General features: G+C 45.4%; 1 protein-coding gene and 1 pseudogene across 5 annotated transcripts in view; both read left to right on the top strand.

Annotated features, from left to right (window-relative positions):
- The window catches only part of SNX6 (sorting nexin 6), a 69,056-nt gene extending 56,459 nt beyond the window's left edge, over window positions 1-12,597 (top strand). For all 5 annotated transcript variants that reach the window (NR_159358.1, NR_159357.1, NM_001366519.1 and 2 more), the window contains 3 exons: window positions 5,677-5,836; window positions 5,919-6,004; window positions 10,515-12,597. Coding sequence is in view for 3 of the 5 variants with exons in the window: in NM_001366519.1 (NP_001353448.1) it covers window positions 5,677-5,836; window positions 5,919-6,004; window positions 10,515-10,568 (300 nt within the window). In the remaining 2 variants the exon portion in view is untranslated. The remainder of the gene's footprint in view (window positions 1-5,676; window positions 5,837-5,918; window positions 6,005-10,514) is intronic.
- RPS19P3 (ribosomal protein S19 pseudogene 3) lies at window positions 4,521-5,073 on the top strand (annotated as a pseudogene).
- Window positions 12,598-15,442: the final 2,845 nt, after the last annotated feature.

The following is a 15,442-nucleotide window of genomic DNA, read 5'->3' as shown; positions in this document are numbered from 1 at the left end:
TCCAGCCTGGGCGACAAAGCGAGACTCCGTCTCGAAAAAAATAAATTAATTAATTAAAAAAAAAAAGCTGTGTGCAAGACTAAAACACTAACCAAAAACAATTTGTTTTTTTTTTAAGGCAGAGTCTCGCCCTGTTGCCCAGGCTGGAGTGCAGTGGCATGATCTTGGGTTATGGCAACCTCTGCCTGCTGGGTTCAAGCCATTCTCCTGCCTCCGCGTCCTGAGTAGCTGGGACTACAGGCACTTGCCACCATGCCTGGATAATTTTTGTATTTTTAGTAGATACGGGGTTTCACCATGTTGGCCAAGCTGGTCTCGAACTCCTTACCTTAAGTGATCCACCAGCCTCAGCCTCCCAATGTGCTAGGATTACAGGCGTGAACCATCCCGCCTGGCCTCAAAAAGTTTTTTTGGCTGGGTACTGTGACTTATGCCTGTGATCCCAACACTTAGGGAGGCCAGTGTGGGAAAATCACATGAGGCCAGGAGTTCAAGACCAGCCTAGGCAACAAAATGACATTCTATGTCTACAAAATATTTTGAAAATTAGCTAGGCCATGGTGGTGTGTTCCCGTAGTCCCAGGGGAGGCTGACACAGGAGGATTGCTTGAGCCCAGGAGTTCAAAGCTGCAGTGAGCCGTGATTGCCACTGTATACTGTTGCCTGGACAACAGAGTAAGACCTTGTCTTTTAAAAAAGTTAACACGAGGCCAGGTGCGGTGGCTCACACCTGTAATCCCAGCACTTTGGGAGGCTTAGGCGGGTGGATCACGAGGTCAGGAGATCAAGACCATCCTGGCTAACACAGTGAAACCCCGTCTCTACTAAAAAAATACAAAAAATTAGCCGGGCATGCTGGTGGGTGCCTGTAGTCCCAGCTAGTCGGGAGGCTGAGGCAGGAGAATGGCATGAACCCAGGAGGCGGAGCTTGCAGTGAGCCGAGATCGCGCCACGGCACTCCGGCCTGGGGGACAGAGCGAGACTCCATCTCAAAAAAAACAAAAAAAAACAAAAAAAACACAAATAACTGAAAAGCACTGAAAACTTAGTGGATCAGATAATGCAAATTCAATGTTAATTTGTGAATTGAGATATTGTACACAAAATTCCCACCTGATCACTGATGCTGATAATTTTTATTAAATTATCTATAACCCTTTAACTTTGAATTCTTAGGTACTTATAAATACACTGTTCATATCAAATTATATCTTATAAACTATTTACATTGGATGGGCAGTGCTAAAATACTCACTTTTGAAGACTTTAAATTATCAAATGTGGTTGTTTTTTGTTTTAATTTTTTGCAGAGACAAGTGTCTCACTATGTTGCAAACTCCTGGGCTCAAGTTATCCACCCGCCTCGGCCTCCCAAGGTGTTGGGATTATAGTTGTGAGCCACTGTTCCCAGCCAAATGTGGTCGTTAATAGATAACAATTTCTTAGTAACTTTAAGAAATAATTAAAATTTAGTTGTCAGAATTAAAACTACAACAAGGTATCACTGTACACCTTAATTAGAATGGCTAAAATGAGAAAAATTCTGGCAAAGATACATACCAACTTAAACCATCATATACTGTTAATATAAGGAATGTGGTGCACTTCCTTGGAAAACTTCATAGTTTCTTAAAAGGCGAAATATACTATCCAGTGATCCAGTCAGTTCACTTCTAGGTATTTACCCAAGAGAAATGAAAGCAGGGCTGGGCGTGGTGGCTCACCCCTGTTATCCTTTGGGAGGCCAAGCCAGAAGGATTTCTGGAGGCCAGGAATTCAAGACCAGCCTGGCAACATAGCCCAATCCTATCTCTATTGAAAAGAAGGAAAGAAAGAAATGAAAGCATATGTCCATACAGGTGTTCACAGCAGCTTTATTTGTAACAGCTGAAAATTGACAACGCAAATATTCAATGGATGATGAGATAAACACATTGTTATATAGCCATACAATGGAATAGTACTCAGTAATAAAAAGAAATGTGCTGTGGATGCATGATATGTGCCCACCATTATAATATTATACACAGTATTTTTGTTGTCCTAAAAATCCTCTGTGCTCTCTCCCTTCATCCTCCTTTCTCCCAATCCCTGGCAGCCACTGATCTTTTTACTGTCTCCATAGTTTTACTTTTTCTAGAATGTTATATAGTTGGAATCATGTAGTATATAGTGTTTTCAGGTGGGCTTCTTGCATTTAGTTACATGCGCTTAAGTTTCTTCTGTGTCTTTCCGTTTTTTGTTGTTGTTTTTTTTTGAGACGGAGTCTCACTCTGTCACCCAGGCTGGAGTGCCGTGGCATGATCTCGGCTCACTGTAATCTCCATTTCCCATGTTCACGCCATTCTCCTGCCTCAGCCTCCCAAGTAGCTGGCACTGCAGGCGCCCACCACCACGCCCGGCTAATTTTTTGTATTTTTAGTACAGACGGGGTTTCACCGTTTTAGCCAGGATGGTCTTGATCTCCTGACCTCGTGATCCACCTGCCTCAGCCTCCCAAAGTGCTGGGATTACAGACGTGAGCCACTGCACCTGGCCTCTTCTATGTCTTTTCATGGCTTGATAGCTCATTTCTTCTTAGTGCTGAATAATATTCCATTGTCTGGATGTAACACAATTTATATTCTCAGAATATATGAAGAACTCTTAATAAAAAGAGAAGGCTGGGGCCAGGTGCGGTGGCTGACGTCTGTAATCCCAGTACTTTGGGAAGCCAAGGGGGCCGGATCACGAGGTCAGGAGATCGAGACCATTCTGGCTAACACAGTGAAACCCCATCTCTACTAAAATACAAAAAAATTAGCCGGGCGTGGTGGTGGGCGCCTGTAGTCCCAGCTACTCGGGAGGCTGAGGCAGGAGAATGGCATGAACCCGGGAGGCAGAACTTGCAGTGAACCAAGATTGCACCACTGCACTCCAGCCTGGGCGACACAGTGAGACTCCATCTCAAAAAAAAAAAAAAAAGAGAAGGCCAGGTGCGGTGGCTCACACCCGTAATCCCAGCATTTTGGGAGGCTGAGGCAGGTGGATCACGAGGTTGAGAGTTCAAGACCAGCCTGGCCAACATGGTGAAACCCTGTCTCTACTAACAATACAAAAAAATTAGCCAGGTATGGTGGCAGGCACCTGTAATCCCAGCTACTTGGGAGGCTGAGGTGGAGAATTGCTTGAATCTGGGAAGCAGAGGTTGCCCTGAGCCGAGATCGCACCACTGCACTCCAGCCTGGATGACAGAGCACGACTCAGTCTCAGGAAAAAAAAAATGTGAGATATCACTTTATACCCACAAGGTGGCCTTCATTTAAAAAAAAAAAAAGCTGGTAAGACCAGGCACAGTGGCTCACACCTGTAATCCCAGCACTTTGGGAGGCAGAGGTGGGCAGATTACTTGAGGTCGGGAGTTCAAGACCAGCATGACCATGGAGAAACCCTGTCTCTACTAAAAATACAAAATTAGCCAGGCGTGGTGGCACATGCCTGTAATCTCAAGGTACTCTGGAGGCTGAGGCAGGAGAATTGCTTGAACCCAGGAGGCAGAGGTTGCGGTGAGCTGAGATCGCGCCATTGCACTCCAGCCTGGGCAAAAACAGCGAAACTCCATCTCCAAAAATGAAACAAAAAAAAAAACCCCAAAAAAACAAAATAAGTGTTGGCAAGGATGTGAGTGACAAAATTTGAACTCTCATATGGTGTTGGTAGGAATGTAAAATGTTCAGCCACTATGGAAAACCATATGGCAGTTACTCAAAGGTTTGATGTAGAGTTACCATATGACTCAGTGATTTCATTCCTTAATAGTGAGAAATGAAACCATGTCCACATAAACACTTGTATGCAAATGTTCACAGCAGCATTATTAATTATATCCAAAAAGTGGTAATAAACCAAATGCCTATCAACTGATGAATTAATGTGATATAACCATACAGTGAAATACTACTCAGCAGTAGAAAGGAGTGAAATATTGATTTGTGCTACAACATAGATGAACTTGAAACATGCTAAGTGGCAGAAGCTAGGCACAAAAATCACACTATTCCATTTTTATGAAATGTCCAGAATAGGTGAATCCCCATCTCTACTAAAAGTACAAAAATTAGCCAGGCTTGGTGGCACACGCCTGTAGTCCCAGCTACTCAGGAGGCTGAGGCAGGAGAATCACTTGAACCGGGAGGTGGAGGTTGTAGTGAGCCGAGTTCACACCACCGCACTCCAGCCTAAGCAACAGAGTGAGACTCCATCTCAAAACAAAAAACAAAAAAAAAAAACATGTCCAGAATAGGCAAATCTGTAGTAGGCAGCAAATTAGCAGTCGTCTAGGGATATGGGCACACATGGGGAAATGGCAAGTGGCTGTTAATGGGCATGGGGTTTCTTTTTGGGTGATGAAAGTGTTCTAAAATCGATTATGGTGATCCTCAGTTCTGTGAGCTTGCTAAAAACCATTGAATTACATATTTTAAATTGTGAGTTATGTGGTACATGGACTATCAAGCTGTTACTTAAAAAAACGGACTGAGCCCTTTCCCCTGGCTGGCAGTGCACAGGCCGGGCCGCATGATGCCTGGAGTTACTGTAAAAGATGTGAACCAGCAGGAGTTCATCAGAGCTCTGGCAGCCTTCCTCAGAAAGTCTGGGAAGCTGAAAGTCCCCGAATGGGTGGACACCGTCAAGCTGCTGGCCAAGCACAAAGAGCTTGCTCCCTACGATGAGAACTGGTTGTACACGCGAGCTGCTTCCACAGCGTGGCACCTGTACCTCTGGGGTGGCGCTGGGGTTGGCTCCATGACCAAGATCTATGGGGGATGTCAGAGAAGTGGCGGCATGCCTGGCCACTTTAGCCGAGGCTCCAAGAATGTGGCCCACCGGGTCCTCCAAGCCCTGGAGGGGCTAAAAATGGTGGAAAAGGACCAAGATGGGGGCCGCAAACTGACACGTCAGGGACAGAGAGATCTGGACAGAATCGCTGGACAGGTGGCAGTTGCCAACAAGAAGCATTAGAACAAACCATGCTGGGTTAATAAATTGCCTCATTCGTTAAAAAAAAAAAAAAAACAGGCTGAGTGCAGTGGCTCACGCTTGTAATCCACTTTAGCAGGCTGAAATAGGGGGATCACTTTGAGGCCAGGAGTTTGAGACCTGCCTGGGCAACATAGTGAGGCCCCGTCTCTACAAAAATCTTTAAATATTAGAATAACTTTGGGAGGCCGAGGCGGGTGGATCACGAGGTCAAGAGATCGAGACCATCCTGGCTAACGTGGTGAAACCCCATCTCTACTAAAACTACAAAAATTAGCCAGGCGTGGTGGCGTGCACCTGTAGTCTCAGCTACTCGGGAGACTGAGGCAGGAGAATTGCTTGAATCTGCGAGGTGGAGGTTGCAGTGAGCTGAGATCGCGCCACTGCACTCCAGCCTGGTGACAGAGCGAGAATCCGTCTTAAAAAAAAAAAAAAAATTCAGAGGTTGCGGTGAGCCAAGATCACGCCATTGCATTCCAGCCTGGGCCACAAGAGCAAAACTCCACCTCAAAAAAAAAAAAAAAAATTGGAGTAACTGGCATGTAGTATTCACTATGTGTTAGCTCTGATGGTTGTGGTGGTGGTGACAGTGGTGGCTGGGTGTGACTACTGGAAACATGCAGTATATATACTATTGTGAAGCATTCTGTTTTATAGGATCTCCTGTATCGAAGGTCTAGGTCACTAGTGGATTATGAAAATGCTAATAAAGCACTGGATAAAGCAAGAGCAAAAAATAAAGATGTTCTACAGGCCGAAACTTCCCAACAATTATGTTGTCAGAAATTTGAAAAAATATCTGAGTCTGCAAAACAAGGTACTGTTACGTTAACCTTTAATCACAAGATATGCTTTATGACTATTATGTAAATTAAATAATCCTAATTTCTTTTTCACAGAACTTATAGATTTTAAGACAAGAAGAGTTGCTGCATTCAGAAAAAATTTAGTGGAACTGGCAGAGTTAGAACTGAAGCATGCAAAGGTAGTGTTGTAATAAAGATTTAATAATTTAAGTTACATGTAATATAGAAATGAATCAGTTATGACATTGATAATTCTTTAATGTCAGTTCTCATAGGGATACTGTGACAACTATTCCTGAACTGGAATTACATTTTCCAAGATTATTTCACTGCTTCAAAATAGTTGGTCTGGGTTTTTTGTTTTGTTTTGTTTTTTTGAGACAGAGTCTGGCGCTATTGCCCAGGCTGGAGTGCAGTGGCAATGATCTCAGTTCACTGCAACCTCTGCTTCCCGGGTTCAAGCGATTCTCACGCCTCAGCCTCCTTAGTAGCTGGGATTACAGGTATGTGCCACCACACCTGGGTAATTTTTGTATTTTTAGTAGAGACAGGGTTTCACCATGTTGGTCAGGCTTATCTCGAAATCCCGTCCTCAAATGATCCTCCTGCCTCAGCCTCCCAAAGTGCTGAGATTACAGACACGAGCCACCGTACCCGGCTAGTCTGGGGCTTTTTTGTTTTGTTTTGTTTTGAGACCTCCGCAACCTCTGCTTCCCAGGTTCAAGCAACTCTTCTGCCTCAGCCTCCCGAGTAGCTAGGACTACAGGTGCGTGCCACCACACCCAGCTAATTTTTGTATTTTTAGTAGAGACAGGGTTTTCACCATGTTAGCCAGACTGGTCTCGAACTCCTGACATGAGGTGATACACCTGCCTCGGCCTCCCGTAGTGCTGAGATTACAGGCATCAGCCACCATGCCCGGCCAGGTTTTTTGAAAATGTATTTATTTAATTATGTTTTAGAGCTGGAGTCTTGCTGTGTTGTCCAGGATAGCATCAAACTCCTGGGCTCAGTTAATCCTCCTGCCTCAGCCTCCCGAGTAGCTGGGATTACAGGTGTATGCCACCATGCCTGGCCCTCTGGTCTTTTTTCACGTTAGTTGTTTACTTTGAATTAAGCCTCTTCTTGTAGTTAATAGAAAGTTTGGCCTAAACCTTATAGTAATTTTAAGAATAGAGAATCTTAGAATTGAGAGGGATTTTAAAGATTATTTAATTAAAGTAAAAATAATATCTATAACGTCTCCAATGGTCAGCTCTGAAAGAATCTAATACCTAATATGGAAACCAGTATCATTTTTTGACTAGTTGTTTTTTAAAAAGTCTTTCTTAATAAAAACATTTAAAAATTAGGCTGGGTGCGGTGGCTCACGCCTGTAATCCCAACACTTTGGGAGGCCAAGACCGGGTGGATTATCTGAGGTCAGGTGTTCAAGACCAGCCTGGCCAACATGGTGAAACCTCATCTCTACTAAAAATATAAAAATTAGCTGGGCGTGGTGGTGGGCGCCTGTAATCCCAGCTACTTGGGAGGCTGAGGCAGGACAGTTGCTTAAACCCAGGAGGCAGAGGCTGCGTGAGCCAAGATTGTGCCACTGCAGTGCAGCCTGGATGCCAAAAAGAAAAATTTATTTAACATTTGCTGTTTTTGTTTTTTGATTTCTTGGTCTAATAACCCTGTCAAAATGTTTTGATAAGTTTGACATTATTACTCTTACTGAGCCTGAGCTGGTTTCTAATGTTCATTGTTTTTCTTTTTTTTTAAAGAGAGGCTGGGCACAGTGGCTCATGCCTTTAATCCCAGCCCTTGAGGTCAGGAGTTCGAGACCGCAAGCCAACATGGTGAAACCCTGTCCTCTACTAAAAATACAAAAATCAGCCAGGCGTGGTGGCTCACGCCTGTAATCCCAGCACTTTGGGAGGCCGAGGCGGGTGGATCACGAGGTCAGGAGATCGAGGCCATCCTGGCTAACACGGTGGAACCCCATCTCTACTAAAAATACAAAAAATTAACCAGGCATGGTGGCGGGCGCCTGTGGTCCCAGCTACTCAGGAGGCTGAGGCAGGAGAATGGCATGAACCCGGGAGGCGGAGCTTGCAGTGAGCCAAGATTGCGTCACTGCACTCCAGCCTGGGAGACAGAGTGAGACTCCGTCTCAAAATAAAAAAGAAAAAAAAAAAATCAGCCAGGCATAGTGGTGCACGCCTGTAATCCCAGCTTCTCCGGAGGCTGAGGCGAGACGATCGCTCGAACCCGGGAGGCGGAGGTTGCCGTGAGCCAAGATTGCGCCACTGCACTCCAGCTTGGGCGACAGAGTGAGATTCTGTGTCTAAAAATAAAAACAAAGAGGTCATGAACTACCAAAAGTTTTGCTGTAGATCAGGGGTTGGTAAACTACAGCCCACCTGCTTTTGTAGTCTGTGAGGAGGGAATGGTGTTCCCATTTTTAAATGGTTGGGTTTTTTTTTTCTTTAAGGTAGAATATGTCAGCCGGGCGCGGTGGCTCACGCCTGTAATCCCAGCACTTTGGGAGGCCAAGGCGGGCAGATCACGAGGTCAGGAGATCGAGACCATCCTGGCTACCACGGTGAAACCCCGTCTCTACTAAAAATACAAAAAATTAGCCGGGCGTGGTGGCGGGCGCCTGTAGTCCCAGCTACTCGGGAAGCTGAGGCAGGAGAATGGCGTGAACCCGGGAGACAGAGCTTGCAGCGAGCTGAGATCATGCCACTGCAGTCCAGCCTGGGTGACAGAGCAAGACTCCTTCTCCAAAAAAAAAAAAAAAAAGTCATGACATGTATTAAATGTATTAATTATGAAATTCAGATTTAAGTATCCGTAAGTAAAATTTTATTGGAACGCAGCCAAGTTCATTCATTTATGCTTGTGGCTGCTTTTATGTAGTAGCATAATGGAGTTGTTGAAACAGCCTAAAATACTTATTATTTAGCCTTTTACACAAAAAGTTTGCTGAGTCCTTCTAGAGATTGATGTCAGTGTCCAGTTTCCAGATTCTATACTTTTTTTTTTTTTTTTGATACTTAGTTTCACTCTTTTTGCCCCAGGCTGGAGTGCAGTGGCGTGATCTCAGCTCACTGCAACCTCTGCCTCCCGGGTTCAAGCAATTCTCCTGCCTCAGCCTCTCGAATAGCTGGGACACAGGTGCACACCACCACGCCCAGCTAATTTTTGTATTTTTAGTAGAGATAGGGTTTCACCATGTTGGCCAGGCGGGTCTCAAACTGCTGACCTCAGGTGATCCGCCTACCTCGGCTTCCCAGAGTGCTGGGATTGCAGGCGTGAACCACCGCGCCTGGCCAGATTCTATACTTTTTCAAGTTCTTTCTGACCTGAGTTCTCTGTATTTAGATTTCTGATAACTGTTCTATTAACAGTAGTACTCAACCAGAGGTGATTCTGCCCCCCAGAGGACATTTTGCAATATCTGGAGACATTTGTGGTTATCACAACTGGGTGTTCTATGGTTACTACCAGTACATGGTGGGCCAAGGATGCTGTTAAATATCCTACAGTGAAGGCTGGGTGCCATGGCTCACCCCTGTAATCCCAGCACTTTGGGAGGCCAAGGCGGGCAGATCACCTGAGGTCAGGGGTTCAAGACCAGCCTGGCCAACATAGTGTAACCCCGTCTCTACTAAAAATACAAAAAATTAGCCAGCGTGGTGGCACGCGCCTGTAATCTCAGCTACTCAGCAGGCTGAGCCAGAAGGATCGCTTGAACCCGGGAGGCAGAGGTTGCACTGAGCCAAGATCATGCCACTGCACTTTAGTCTGGGTGACAAAGCAAGACTCTGTCTCAAAACAAAGGCCAGCGCAGTGGCTCACGCCTGTAATCACAGCACTTTGGGAGGCTGAGGTAGGCGGATCACCTGAGATCAGGAGTTCAAAACCAGCCTGGCCAACATGGCAAAACCCCGTCTCTACTAAAAATACAAAAATTAGCTGAGCATGGTGGCAGACACCTGTAATCCCAGCTACTGGGGAGGCTGACGCAGGAGAATTACTTGAACCCAGGAGGCGGAGGTTACAGTGACCTGAGATGGTGCCATTGCACTCCAGTCTGGGCAACAGAGTGATACTCCATCTCAGAAAAAAAAAAAGAAAAAAAATTTACTGAAGAATCTGGTATGTAGAAAGTATTATTGTATGTGAAACAAATCATGTAATTTTATGTATTTAAACCTTTATGTGTATATAATGAATGGCTGTTTTAAAATTTCTAATATATCGATAAAGTCATATGACTTCTAACACTATATTTTTTTTTTCTTATTTTTTTTTTTTTGAGACGCAGTCTCACTCTTTCGCCCAGGGTGGAGTGCAGTGGCGCGATCTCTGCTCACTGCAAGCTCCGCTTCCCGGGTTCATGCCATTCTCTTGCCTCAGCATACCGAGTAGCTGGGACTACAGGTGCCAACCACCACGCCCGGCTAATTTTTTGTATTTTTTAGTAGAGATGGGGTTTCACTGTGTTAGCCAGGATGGTCTCGATCTCCTGACCTCGTGATCCACCCGCCTCGGCCTCCCAGAGTGCTGGGATTACAGGCATGAGCCACCGCGCCCGGCTTCTAACACTATATTTTATGTCGTTTCTAACTGTATTTTCAGTAGGAGTCTTCTGAATTGTTTGAAATAAAATTTGTAATTTATTTTTTCTTCCTTTTTTAGGGTAATCTACAGTTGCTGCAGAACTGCCTGGCAGTGTTAAATGGAGACACATAAGCCACACTCCGCCTTCCTGTTAAAAAGGGCTGCCTTCCTTCAAATTTTATTTTTGTTTTCTTAATGATGTTAAGCATTTATGCTCACTGGAAACAAACAAAAAGCAGCTGAAAAAGTGCATCAACTCCTCTTTTTCTGAGAAACATGGAGCAGCGCACGCCCAGGCGATGCCAGTCTGTGTGCCGTGATGCCGCACTGTGTTCCCCATGACAGTGGTCCATCATCGTGCACTCGTCATACTCAGAAGTCCAAAGTTCATTCTTCTTTAAAGTAGCCTCTATAACTCTGTTTATTTTATAAATAGTATTCCTTATGGCTGCCACTCTTATTTACCTTTAAATAATTTCTGAAATTTAACCTTTTCAGAATGCATTGTTGAAACAAGATAAAGATTGCCTTTTTTGAATTTTTTAAATTTTGTTTTTAAAAGCATATACCACCTTAGTTCATTCATGTATCCTGGTAAAGCATCTTAATCAGACTTATTTTTAATTACTGAATATTTCTTAGACGTTTTGGGACAGATTTTATGTAATCTTTATAAGTATGATTTCTGAAGAAAAGCAAATGCATTAGTATGTTTGCCTTAAACTTGTAGACTAAACCAAGTATTGTAAAATAAACAGCGATAACAGTGATAGTTTTTAACTCTATGGTCATTGTATCACTCTGGAAAATGTGGAGTAGCTGTAATAAATCTACTCCTGTATTATGCTTTACAGTGCAGGTCTTAGTTTTTCTTTTTTCTCATTTCTTTTGAAATGGCATCTCGAACAAAGTCCACCAATCCCTTTACAAAAGAATGAACTGCTCCTCTGTGTGTACTTCATAGAAGGTGGAATCGGACAGAGGCAGGTTAGTGACAGTTATTCCTGAAATACAGGAGCAGAGTACAGTCTGTTGTGGTTTCCCGGATTCCGCGCCTAGCTCAGCCAATTAAGCATGAGACATAGGCCATTGAGCCACTTAGTAGTTATGCGAGTGGATAGATTGGTATGTAGAGGGAAAGAGGTCTGCTGTAAAGAACAACACTTGTTTGTCTGTGGGGAAAGAAAAGCAGAATACTTGAGATGAAAGTTGGCATACAAATAGGATACTATCGCCAGTAGTTATATTACAAACATTATCGGCCTTTCTAGTGTGAATGAACATTAGACACATTATTGTCATTCCTAGTTTAAAGTTAAGGTTGCGTGGTTGGATTTTTCCACTATCTTTTTCTAATTTTTCTACCATTTGGAGACCGTAGGCATTTGGGCCTGTCACCCCTTGGATGGGTTCCTAGTTTGTTTACATTTTCCTGAACCCTCCTGAGCGCCCGTTCTTGGTCTAATCCCCAGTCGTGATGATTCCACACTTCCTCAGCCGCATGTTGTCTTGCCTCATTCATGAGCTGGTCAGCGTTTCGTCTCTTTAACTGACATGTTCCCCAGTGCTGTTTGAACTGTTGAGTTTCCGTTGCTGGCTGAGTGCGTTTTGTCCTTCACGTAACCTTCGCTGGTAAAAATAAGCCCATGTGATGTCCACCAGTGGATGAATGCTGGACCGAGAGCCCTAGCTTCTGGATCCAGGTCTAGGCCCTTCATCTGCTGCTCTGTGGCCCAGGGCAGGTTTGCTTGACCTCTGCCTCAGTTCTCGACTCTAAAGGACATACTGACCTACCTCACAGGGGTGTTGTGAGGATTAATAAATGTTGGTACTCTGCTTTGGAAATGTGAAAATGCTGTGTAAATGTTAAGAAATACTAAGTATAGGGCCAGAAGCTATACAGTGTTTCACTTAACCGTTTGCCATTCTGTATTTACCAAGGTGGTCTTTTCTGGGGAAGGAAGTAGAGTGGAAGGTGCATCCCTTGGCCCCTGGTTTACATTATTAGGGTGCTTATTGTAGGAATGCACTCTAAAAAGTGGGCGTAGAATGAAAGCAGCCGTCCAGTGGTCCTCCCTTTTCTGTAGTTTCACTTTTCTTGCTTCAAGTTACAGCAGTCACCTGAAATCTGAAAATACTAAATGAAAAACTCCAGAAACAATTTATGTCTTAAATGTTGTGCTGTTCTGAGTAGCGTGATGAAATCTGTTGCCGTCCTACCTGGAACATTGAGTCATGCCTCTGTCCAGTGTGTCCATGCTGTATACACTGTCCACCCATCAACCAACCACTAAGTAGCTGTCTTGGTTGTCAACATAACAGATCACAAGAAGATTGAGGTTGGGTGTGGTGGCTTACCCCTGTAATCCCAGCACTGTGGGGGTCCAAAGTGGGAAGATTGCTTGAGCCCAGGAGTTCAAGACCAGCCTGGGCAACTAAGCGAGATCCTATCTCTCGAAAAAATTTTAAAACAACTTTTTGGCTGGGCGTGGTGGCTCACGCCTGTGATCCCAGCACCTTGGGAGGCCAAGGCGGGCGGATCACGAGGTCAGGAGATCAAGACCGTCCTGGCTAACACGGTGAAACCCCGTCTCTACTAAAAATACAAAAAATTAGCCAGGCGCAGTGGCGGGCACCTGTAGTCCCAGCTACTCGGGAGGCTGAGGCAGGAGGATGGCGTGAACCCGGGAGGTGGAGCTTGCAGTGAGCTGAGATTGCGCCACTGCACTCCAACCTGGACGACAGAGCGAGACTCCGGCTCAAAAAAAAAAAAAGAATTAGCTGGGCGTGGTGGCGGGTGCGTGTAATCCCAGCTACTCGGGAGGCTGAGGCAGGAGAATCACTTGAACCTGGGAGGCAGAGGCTGTAGTGAGCCAAGATCGCGCCATTGCATTCCAGGCTGGGCAACAAGAGCGAAACTCTGTCTCTAAATAAATAAAATAAAATAAAATAAAATAAAATAAAATAAAATAAAAAATGGCATGTAATATAAAAATGAGGGGAGAACCCTTTTAGGCAGGATTTAACTTTGGCTACAGGTAACTAAAACAATGAGCAGCTTAGACAGGACTTATTTTTCTCACCTACCCAGAATTTAAGGGGTAGCAGTTTGGGGCTGTTGGCCAGGCTATTCACCAGGCGGCCCCTCCTCCGTCTGCTCTACCATGCCAGGTGTAAGGTCTCCCGGCCATGATTGTTGCTTCCAGGTACCAAGGCGGCCGCTACACTCCAGGCCTGAGTCTGACTTCCAGGTAGAAAAAGGGGGTAGGGACAAAGACTTTCTTCAAAAAGTGGCTTGGCCTTTTTATTCTCCTGGAGATGCCCTTTCCGGGGACGTGTGTCTAACTGGCCAGAACTGTGTTGTGTGATGAGGAAGTTGAGCTGTTTTAGCTGGGTGTGTTGATCCTGTGGACAAAATCAGGGTCTGTTAGTAAGACAGGAGTGGCCACTGCAGGATACCCTGCCAACAGCACAGAACGAGTCTGGACCTGAGAAACAGTAAAACTGACCTGTGATTAGAGGTTTCGTTTGTTGTTGTTGTTGTTTGTTTTTTATGTGTTTTTTTTGGTTCTTGTTTTGTTTTTTGTTTTTTGTGACGGAGTCTCACTCTGTCGTCCAGGCTGGAGTGCAATGTCGCGATCTCGGCTCATTACAACCTCCGCCTCCTGGGTTCAAGTTTTTCTCCCGCCTCAGCCTCCGGAGTAGCTGGGATTACAGGAACCCGCCATCATGCCCAGCTAATTTTTGTATTTTTTAGTAGAGACGGGGTTTCACCATGTTGGCCAGGCTGGTCTTGAGCTCCTGACCTCAGGTTATCCGCCCGCCTTGGCCTCCCAAAGTGCTGGGATTACAGGCGTCAGCCACCGCGCCCGGCCCAGAATTTTTTTTTTTTTAATTATTTTACATGAGAGGCCGGGTGCGGTGGCTCACACCTGTAATCCCAGCACTTTGGGAGGCCGAGGAGGGCAAATCACGAGGTCAGGAGATGGAGACCATCCTGGCCAATATGGTGAAACCCCCGTCTCTACTGAAAACACAAAAATTAGCCAGGCGTGGTGGCGAGCACCTGTAGTCCCAGCTACTTGGGAGGCTGAGGCGGGAGAATCACTTGAACCCGGGAGACGGAGGTTGCAGTGAGCCGAGATTGCGCCACCGCTCTCCAGCCTGCTGACAGAGTGAGACGCCGTCTCAAAAAAAAAAAATACATATATATATGTGTGTGTGTGTGTGTGTGTGTGTGTGTGTGTGTGTGTGTGTGTGTGTATAAAACATTAGAAGAAAATCAAATGAGTCCAGAGAGTTTGTTGTGGCCCTAGGACTTGTAACAGGACACGTAAATTCTGGGGCTGAGGCTGCCATTGTGGGGTGGCCTTTGGGGGTTCTATGCGCTATGCGCTGATGCTGAGCAAGCAAAGAGAAGCAAGAGTTTGGAGCAAACAGAGAGAAGCAGGGAGGCTTTCCGTGACCCCCTTGTCTAATATGTTAAGCCCTCAACCCCAGCCTTTTCTCTCCATGCCCTCTTCTCTATCCCTTGGTCCACGTTTTTCCCCCTTCTGCTTCGTATTATTGCTTGTCTGCTCACTGTCCGTCTCCCCGTTCCGTTTCTCTATTGCTTCACGAAAAGACCACCCTCAAAACGTAAGGGCTTTGCAACAACAGTGATCATTCATTTGTATCCCAAGTCCGCAGTTTTGATGTTCTGCTCCCTGATGCCTAGGGTCTCGGCTGGGGACTGAAACCGTTTCCATGCATTTCTCTCCACAAAGCCTCGGGCTTCCTCACGACACGGCAGCCTGCGTAGTCAGCCTTCTTCCATGGCGGCGCAAACCTCCAAGACGATTCCGGTAGACCCAGATGGGAGCTGTAAGGATGCCTCCGACCCAGCCTCGGGAGACCCTGGACATCACTTCTGCCACATGCCGTTGTGCAAGGTAGTCACTAAGGCCAAACCAGATCCAAGGAGAGGGGAATTGGACTCTACTTCTCGATGGGAGAAGTAGTAAAGA

Source organism: Homo sapiens, chromosome 14 (genome assembly GCF_000001405.40).
Source record: "Homo sapiens chromosome 14, GRCh38.p14 Primary Assembly".
In the NCBI taxonomy this organism is placed as follows: domain Eukaryota; kingdom Metazoa; phylum Chordata; class Mammalia; order Primates; family Hominidae; genus Homo; species Homo sapiens.
Note: the sequence above shows the minus strand (reverse complement) of the source record. Positions and strands in the feature narration are given on the sequence as shown.